The following is a 9,842-nucleotide window of genomic DNA, read 5'->3' as shown; positions in this document are numbered from 1 at the left end:
GGAAATCCAGGATCCTGTTACCAGAAGAAGGGGAAACAGATGTGCAGTTGTGCCAAAGCCCCTAAAGGTGCCCAGGTCTATTTCCCCAACAGACCACTAGGTCCTGGAGGGCAAGAATTGTGTTTTTTGTTTTTGTTTTTGTTTGTATTCCTAGCATCTGGCCCAGGACCTGGTACATAGTAGGTGCTCAGTTTTTTGTATTTCTATTTATTTTTTTTTTTGGTGGAATGAACAGATAAGTGAATGCCTAAATGCAATAGAATAAAAGTTGGCAAATATTTTCTGTTACAGGTTAGACAGTAAACGTTTTTGGCTTTGCAGATCTGCCGTTGTAGCAGAAAACCCTCATAGCTATTACAAACAAATGAATGTGGCTGTGTTTTCATAAAACTTTATTTATGCACACCGAAATGTGAATTTCATAGCATTTTCACCTGCCATGAAATGTACCATGCTCACTGGAGGTACAAAAATAGGCAGCGGGCTGCGTTTGACCGGGGAGCTTCAGTTTGCAGACTCCTGGAAGAGAGGACTGAGGGCCAGAGGACTGAGAAATAACTCACCTTGAGCATCGCAATCCTCCTCCGGTTTTACACCCTGCCGAGCCGACTTTGTGTGAAGACCATTGTTGTGCCATAAACATGTGAAAAGGCAACATTTAATTTAGGTCACACATCTGGAGCATGTGAGGAGCCTTCATCAGGCTATATTGAAATTTCTGCGTTCCACACCAGTGCCTCTAAAATTGTTAAACTGCATCGCCCTTGCGGCTTTATTAAACCTCGCCTGTTCCAGCCAGGCTTGACAACGAATGCCTAGCGTTCCGAGTGCAGAGTAGATTTGCTATGCGGGGTCCTGCTGCCCCCCCAGCAGCTCCCCGGGAAATCCAAGGCTGTTCCAGCCCCCCGGCCCTTTGTGCCGGAGCCCAGCGCCCAGCAATTGTGCCTCTAATCAACAGCCTCTAAGCAGGTGAGCATTTATCTCAGTCAGTTACCCCTTATAATTACTGTATTGAACCTAGTTGTCTATAAAATGAATGGTTTGTTCAGACACTTTACCCAAAGAGTTCATTAGGGGTTAAACAAAATGCAATCCCATTTGCAAAGAGTATAATAAATTGTTTCATCTGTGAATTTAGCTGTTCTCCCTAATGCAGACATGGGTGTTACAGTGGCTTTCCCTTGATAGGGTTATGGGTTAATGAAATGCCTTTTCTGTTGCTTATTTTCCTCTCTTCTGTGCTGAGTGATAAGTAGCTAACCAACGAAGCTTGTAATTACAATCTTACAGAAACCGGGCCGATCTGTATATAAATCTCACCATCCAATTACAAGATGTAATAATTTTGCACTCAAGCTGGTAATGAGGTCTAATACTCGTGCATGCGATAATCCCCTCTGGATGCTGGCTTGATCAGATGTTGGCTTTGTAATTAGACGGGCAGAAAATCATTATTTCATGTTCAGGAAAAAATTAGGTTGGTGGGAAGTTAATTTTCTCACCGCTCTCTGAAGCGTAGACAAGAATTTAATGATTTAATCATGATTGTTAGCTCTTTTGCAATCAATTTGTAATGATTGTGTAGCAACTCTCTTCAAGGGAAGCTGCTTTGGAGAGGAGTTTGCAAACAGCTGTCCGGGGGGCTGGCCTTTGAGGGGCACGTGACTCAAAGCCATTAAAGCTGCCTTCATCATGACATGGGGAGCATGAGCTCCAGAGGCTCTCACCCCAGCATTTCGAAGGTCTGGTGAAGTAGAAATAGTCAGTATTTTAGACTTCCAGGAACTATAGCTCCATGCACAGGCAGTGGGAGATGGACTCCTTAGCTGCACAAGGCACGGTAATAATTTTGTCAACGTCTTGCATTGTAGATCTCAGTTTACAAACTTGTGTGCAAGAAATAGCATATTCTTTCATTTTATTTAGCTGTATTTATTCTAACTTGGAGACTCATGCTGCCGGGTTGGTGAGACATGTAACCTCAGAGAAATAGAATTCTCCACCCCACCTCCTGAAAGAGGCTAGCACTCAGTTTCTTGCAAGGTTCAAAGGTCCCTCCGGTCTCAGCCTGCTGGTCCCTTCAGTCTCCAAGGCCCCGAAGCTCCTCTCCCATGCCTGAGACACAAGATCCTTTGGGGAGGCCAAGAGCTGCACATCTGGGGTTCAGTCCCTGGAGCTGGGCCAGGGAGGCAGCTGGGCCCCACTGAAGTCTCACATTCATGGGAGAACAGGAACAAGATCGTACCTTGTAGAAGTCGCCACAAATCACCTTCTTAGCCTCAGACCAGCTCACTATTTCCCAAGTTAAGGCTCCTCGGAGGCACCTGAGCCCACCCCGATGACCCTGATCCCATCTCTTTAATGACTTTTCATTTTCCAAATGATCAGAAGAGCTTTTAACTTTAGGCGACTTCTGTCTGCAGCCCTGTTAAAACTCCCGAGGCCAAGCATTACAAAGCCCGCCTACCTGCTTGAAGGGAAAGATAGAGAGAGAACAAACTCTAATTAATATTTCAATAAATTATCCTCTGGTATTGACTCAGACTTCCTCCTGTGTGTTCTCTCGATAATTTATTTTCTGAGTACCCCAAACATATTTTTCCTCCTGATATTGGATAGTGAGACTGTCAGCTAAAAGTGTCTGGTTGTTCATCCAAGTCAATTCTAGAAGTTTTTATTAAGCTTTAGCCAGTTTCTTAAGACTAAGCAGAGGATATTCTGTATGTGTTGCATGGGGGATGGGGTGTGGAGAGGAGGTGACAAACAGTATTAACATTTATTACTGCATTTTATTGGATTTCCTTGACTCCATCAATGGTAAGATGCATCATCATTTTATATATTGAGAAAGTAAAAAGTCATTGCCAAGTAAAGTACGTACAATGCTTCTTTAATCATTTAGAATTTTCATTTCATACTTAATGAAAATGCTCTTTTATACTTATGTAAAAAGATTTTTATCATAGATCACTTTGCCCACAAGAAAAGGAAAATGTAAGTGAAATAAATTGGCAAAGGTATTCCTGAACCTTCTTTATATTCAGAGACAAACTTTCTGAACTCAGGGTCATTGGTGTCTGTGTTTTCTTGGCTAAAGCCATGCCCCTAGCTGTTAAGACTATTGTCTGGGATTTTCTTCTAAGCAATGACACCCTCAGGCAAACTTTGCTGCCTATATCATTGGTAACACCAATGATATCAGACTTGCTCCTGGGCAACATCAATCCCAATTTCAACTCTGTTAAAATATTTTTTTAAAGTGCCCATCTCAAAGTTGATGATCTATGATAAGTATCTGGTCTTGGATAAGAGGACAGTTTTTTAGCCAGGAAAGGTGGGACAAAGACAGAGACCTTGAAGCAAGCTGTGTGAGGAGGAAAGAGGAAGGAAGCTCAGGCCTAGGATTAACGTGTTCTCCATGAAGTAGACGAACAGGTTGGCTGTGCAGCTGGGTGGACGGGGCTGAGCTCTGAGTTCTGGAAGCTTAGAGTCACTCTAAGATGGGGAAGATGACTAGAGCTTTTGAACATCCTGTCTAATTCCTGCAACAGTGGAAGCCCAGGAGGAAATTAGGAGGAAGCTGATGCTGACAGGGCCCTAGAGTTGAGGACAAGCATGGCAAATGCTACAGAAGACCAAGAGGGAATGAGAGAAGGCTCTATCAAAATTGGTGGATGAGGTTTCCACTCCAGATGGGTGGATTTCCTGGCCTCAGCATGCTCATTCCCACTCCTGGGCCCCTAACCCATGTTGTTTATCCTTCTTAGATGTCTTTGCATGTCACCTTTTTCTAAGTACTGCCATTGGTGCCTGATACCACTATTAAGGACTAACTTGGCTAGAGGCATTGCTGTCTATTAAATATGGCTTCCTTGAGAGGCTTTTCAACTTGCATGCCGCTGTGTCTCACTCTAGTGCACAGCTGCCTTGCACTTGTCTTTTATTTTCTTGATCTTGTAAGTTCCCTCTTACCACAGGGCCTTTGCACACATTTGTCCTTCCACCAGGATGTTTCTTTCTTTCCCTGCTTATTCTTCAGTTTTTGGCTCAAACATCGTCTCCTCAGGGAAGGTTTTTCAGTAGCCTGAGCAGACAGATCATCCCTTCCAATTTTATGGGCTCTCTCTGCCATGAGACTCTTCTGCATGACCCTTGTCTCTGTTGCAGTTTAGATTTCTTTGTGTGATTACCTGATAAATGCCTGTATCTCCCACTGACAGTGTTAGCTTCTGCAGGGGAGGAGCTGTGTCTGCTTTGCTTCCCAAACCTAAGACAAGGTGTGAGCCACTGCGCCCGGCCAGGTTTCAACTTCTTATGGAACACATTAAATGTGTACATGCTTATCCTTCTTCCCAACTCTCCTCCTCTGCAATTGTTAGGGGTTGAGTTATATCCCCTCAAAATTCATATGTTGAGGGGGTTAAGTGCTCTCTTTCACCCTCTGTCTTCATGTATACATGGATGATGAATGAATGAATGAATAGATCTCTTATGAATGAATGAATAAATAAGAGCATGGGTAATAAACATAGGAGGCAATTCTGGATATGGTAGGAAACAAAGCCAGGTCCTGCTGCGAGTGCGGTTCCCCTCCCAGTGGGCGTGGATGGCAATGAACCTCACATATGACACTTGCAATGCACCACAGGGTGCCCAGTGAGTCCTCTGGAAAACTAAATGGATTTGAATCTTTTCTCATTCTCCCAGGCATGGCTGTCTAAATTCCAGCCACGGGGCATTTTATCTCTGAAAAACTGCCTACCCAATCCTGCCCCTTCCCTTGAAGCTCAATTATCATATTCTGCTGGTTTTATCTCCTGATGACTCCTAGGTCATTCACTGGGATTCTGCAGCTGTCCTGGGAACCCCTAAGAGAGCAAGGAGGGTTTGGACACCTGCAGCCAATCTGGGGCCAAATCTAGCAGGTATCTATGACATCCTTGGAGGTGTCCACCAGCCTTCCAACTCTGCTCCATGTCCTTTCTCTTCAGTTTCTCTCCAATCATTGATTTCATTTTTCTTCTTTTCTTAGCTTTCAAAATGTAGTAAGATTTACAGAACATGAAATGCACCATAGCCAATTTAAGTGTACAGTTCAGTGGCATTAAGTATAGTCTCATTGTGTGCAAGCATCATCACCTTCCATCCACAGAACATCTTTCATCTTGTAAAACTAAAACTCTGTACCCATTAAGCATTAACTCCACATTTCTCTTCCCCACAACCAGCCCTTGGTAACCTCTATTCTACTTTCTGGCTCTATGAATTTGGCTACCCTAGGCACCCTGTACAAGTGGAATTATATAGCATTTGTCTTTTTGTGAATGACTTATTTCATTTAGCATAATGTCCTTAAGGTTCATCTATGTTTTAGCTGTGTCAGAATTTCTCCTTTCCAAAGATGAATAATGTTTCATTGTATGGATATCCCACATCTTGTTGATCCACTCAGCCATTGATGGACACTTGAGTTGCTTCCGCCTTTGGCTATTGTGAAGAATGCTACTAGGAACATGGTAGACAGCTAACTCTTTGAGACCCTGCTTTCAAGTCTCTTGCATTTTCCCAGAAGTGGAATTGCTGGGTCATATGCTAATTCTATGTTTTCCACAGCAGCTGATTTTACATTCTCACCAACAATGCACAAGGGTTCCAGTTTCTTCACATCCTCACGAACACTTGCTATTTTCTGTTTTGTTTTTATACAGTAGCTATCCTAATGGTTGTGAGCTGTAATTGCTATTCTTAAACTGAAAGTCCTACCTCCAGCTCCTCCTAGTGAGGAAGGGATTTAACTTTCAAATAGTGCTTAGCACCTATGATGGGCAAAGTGCTTTGCCAAGGGCTGGGCCAGCATCCAAATCCCTGTGCTCCCTGCCACTTCCTTGCTGTGCCCATCACATCACCGCTGAGCCTGGGTCCCTTCATCTATAATGTAGGAATGACAATAATAGGGTGTACTTCATAGGATCATCGTGGCAATTGATTTATTTAATGTATATAGAAGGATTCATGTAGTACCTGCCATGTTCTTGTTCTTTTTCTTATTCTAAATTATTCTTATTTGCTACACAGAAAAGACATGAAAAGATTCATTTTCCCCTTACCATGGGGGCACTGACAGCACCCTGCTGGAGCACCTGGGGCTGGTTTTCTCCCCGTCCCCTGCTGCTGTATCTGGGATCCTATCCAGCCCGGGAAGAAATGCCCCAGATGTTATCAGGGTGATGGCAGTACAGATTTCCTCTTTATGCTTCTGTCTGTTTTAAAAAGTGAGTATGGTTTTGTAATAATTAGAGTTAAATGTTATCATAATAGTAACGACATTTTAAGGGAGCACAGACTTCTAGCCAAAGATAAAATCATTTCTTCTCTGTTCCTCTCCCTTAAAATCTACATACAACAACCACAAATAAGTAAACATTGAAATAAACTTTATTTTTGATGGAGCTGGGAGATGTCTCCATTGCTGGACAGTCTCTCTTGTATCTGGAACAAAGCATGGCAGGTGAACAGAGCTGGCAGGGCCCTCATCAGACTTGAAGCAAGATCTGCTTTCCCTGGAAATAAGGTTTACCCTCCTGAAAGACTTCTGTCTTAGTTTAGAGGGGCCATAAATGAGGATGGGATGTTCAGAGAGAAGCAGAGGCACAGCTATGCAGGTCTGTTTGACTCCACAGAGCAGAAGGGAAGAAATCATGGGGAAAGGTAGTTCTCTTATCTGGGATCTAAATTCCTCACTCAATGAGACTGTGGGAGGTGGTCTGGGGTGAAGGGTGGGGGAGGGTGCAGTGACCTCTGGGCTCAGTGCAGGCAGCCTGAGACAGAGTGACATCAGCTTCTCCAGTATGAAAAACTGAGGGGGCACATGCCTTTGGTACAGGAAATAGATTTGGTGAGAAAGTACCTGTGATCACAACTCTGAACAAAGTAGGGGCTTCTCCATCCACTCTCTGACCCCTCTCCAGCCCTCTCACCCCACATTATAACTGTCCAGATACATAAGAGCAAATAAGTATCCTGCCTAAAGGAGAGGAATGGCAGGGAACAGTCAGCCTAGGACCCATGTATTTATACCAGAAAAAAAAAAAAAAAGAAACAGGGAAAGAAATTCAAGCAAAAGCAGCTAACGATCATGTATCACAAGAAAAATTACCCAACATAACAGAATAAGAGGTGGACAAATGGTTATCTATGGGCTCGAAGAAACTGTAGACAATATGATCTTTCTATGAAAAAACTCAGAGAGTTGATGAAAAGCATGCTAACGAAGCCTAGGAGAGAAATGGATGAGAAAGGAAAAGATTTACAGAGTTGAATGCTGTATTGAAAGCAGCAAAACCCAGCAAGAATAAACACGATTGGAAAGTCAGCCAGGGAAGTGGCAAAGAGATTAGAAAAAATCATAAAAGTGAAATGGAAGAGAATACAAAATATAAATATAAAAATGAGAGAAGATGGCAGACATAAAAGACAAAAGATATCAAACACACACACAAATGATGGACTCGAAATAATGATCAGAGCAAGGAGGACATACATTCCCGCAAAACATCTGTGAAATAAAGACTTGAACTGTATGGTGAATAGGCACAGGAAAATTACACAGAATTAAGGGTTGTCTTGCAGAGGCTCTCAAACTTCCAAGAAAAGAAAAATCATATGGAGATCTGACATGTAGGGTGTAGAGGGAAGAAAGTCGAGTACAAGGGGAAAAATTGGGCTGGCCCCAAATGTATCCATACTGATTTTTAATTCATAAGACAAGGGAGCAATGTTTATGATGTTCTGATAAGAAAAAATAAGACCCTGAAATCTATACTCAGCCGAATTGCCCTTGAAGTATAGAGATAGCACACATCCCTAAGTGTGCAAGAATTTAAGTTATGTAGGACCTACGGATCCTTCTTGGGGAAAAAAAAACAGAATGAAAGAAACACTTAATGGAATTCAGCCAACCTAGAGATGAATCAAAGTAAAGAATTCTAGAGTGAGAAGTTGTCATACAAAAGCCTGGTGCCGGTAATTGACCCATTTCAATATATAACTAAGACTAAAGAATTGTGGAAATTATGGATACAGAAGAGAGTGCACATGTTATTAAACTTAGACTATAAAAAGAATAATAAGACTGAGAAAATGATCAGTAGAGTATTAGTTTGCTAGGGTTGCTGGAAGAATCTTCTGAAGACTGGGTGGCTTAAGCAACAGGAATTTATTGCCTTACAGTTTTAGAGGCTGTTAATCTGAGATCAAGGTGTTGGCAGTGGTTCTTTCTGAGGGCTTCTCTGGTGGTTTGCTGGCCATCTTTGTGTTCCCGATCTCTGCCTTCATCTTCACCTGGCATTCTACCTGTGTGCATGCCTGTCTATATCCAACTTTCCCCTTTTTGTAAGGATCCCAGTCATATTGGATCAGAGTCACAATAATGACCTCATTTTAACTTGGTTACCTATGTAGAGACCCCGTCTCCAAATACAGGGAGGTACATGGGGTTAGAACCTCAACATATGAATTTTGAGGGGATATAACTCAACTCCTAACAATTGCAGAGGAGGAGAGTTGGGAAGAAGGATAAGCATGTACACATTTAATGTGTTCCATAAGAAGTTGAAACCTGGCTGAGTGTGGTGGCTCACGCCTGTAATCCCAGCACTTTGGGAGGCCGAGGTGGGCAGATCACGAGGTCAGGAGATCAGACCATCCTGGCCAACATGGTGAAACCCTGTCTCTACTAAAAACACAAAAATTAGCTGGGGGTGGTGGCACGTGCCTGTAATACCAGCTATTCGGGAGGCTGAAGGAGGAGAATCACTTGAACCAGGGGCTCTGATGTTGCAGTGAGCTGAGATCGCCACTGCACTCCAGCCTCATGACAGAGCGAGACTCCGTCTCAAAAAAAAAAAAAAGTTGAAACCTGTAGCTCAAAAAACAAAATGACTCCAACCTCTTAATACCATATAATCATTTTTTCCTTAAGTTTAAATCGCTCTTGTTAGAACAAATACGTCTTGTAGCAATAGAACATATAGCTGGAAATTTAGTAACTCCTTCAGGCTTGCTTGCTTCTTTTGTCTGTTAAAATAAAAAATAAATTTTTAATTAAAAATTTTTGGCCAGGCGCGGTGGCACACGCCTGTAGTCCCAGCACTTTGGGAGGCCGAGGCAGGCGGATCACGAGGTCAGGAGACCCCGACTATCCTAGCTAACACAGTGAAACCCCGTTTCTACTAAAAATGCAAAAAAATTAGCCGGGCATGGTGGCGGGCGCCTGTGGTCCCAGCTACTCGGGAGGCTGAGGCCGAGAATGGCGTGAACCCGGGAGGCGGAGCTTGCAGTGAGCCGAGATCGCGCCACTGCACTCCGGCCTGAGCAACAGAGCGAGACTCGTCTCAAAAAAAAATTTTTTTTGAAAAATTTAAAGTGGAGAAGTATGGCCATCACAGATAATTCCAGCATCCAGCACACTTTCCCGCTCTGAAAGGTGTTACACTAGAGCACTGGGGATGGGGGTGACATACATTTAACAATATCTGGAAACTTTTTTTTTTTTTTTTTTTTTGAGACAGGGTCTCTCTCTGTCACCCAGGCTGGAGTGCAGGGATGCGATCACAGATCACTGTAGCCTTGAACTCCTGGGCTCAAGCGATCCTTCCACCTTGGCCTCCCAAGTAGCTGAGGCTACAAGAACACACCACTATGCCTGGCTAATTTTTTAAAGTTTTTTGTAGAGGCAGGGTCTCGCTATGTTGCTCAGGCTGGTCTCAAACTCCTGGCCTCAAGCAATCCTCCTGTCTCAGCCTTCCAAACTGTTGGGAATATAGGCATGACCCATGGCACCT

The 9,842-nt window shown here is 43.2% G+C and overlaps 3 annotated features.

Moving 5' to 3' along the window:
- Window positions 375–874: an enhancer, noted in NCBI's record as "NANOG-H3K4me1 hESC enhancer chr16:55224069-55224568 (GRCh37/hg19 assembly coordinates)". NCBI's record gives its function as "activates a minimal SCP1, AML or CMV promoter by ChIP-STARR-seq in naive H9 embryonic stem cells {active_cell/tissue: H9 hESC(naive)}" and the evidence as "EXISTENCE:reporter gene assay evidence [ECO:0000049][PMID:30033119]".
- Window positions 375–1,758: a biological region, named in NCBI's record as "VISTA enhancer hs26".
- Window positions 660–1,758: an enhancer, noted in NCBI's record as "VISTA enhancer hs26". NCBI's record gives its function as "enhancer in: neural tube[3/7] | midbrain (mesencephalon)[3/7] | eye[3/7]" and the evidence as "EXISTENCE:transgenic organism evidence [ECO:0001131][PMID:17130149]".

This window comes from Homo sapiens, chromosome 16 (assembly GCF_000001405.40).
Source record: "Homo sapiens chromosome 16, GRCh38.p14 Primary Assembly".
Taxonomy (NCBI): Eukaryota; Metazoa; Chordata; class Mammalia; order Primates; family Hominidae; genus Homo; species Homo sapiens.
Note: the sequence above shows the minus strand (reverse complement) of the source record. Positions and strands in the feature narration are given on the sequence as shown.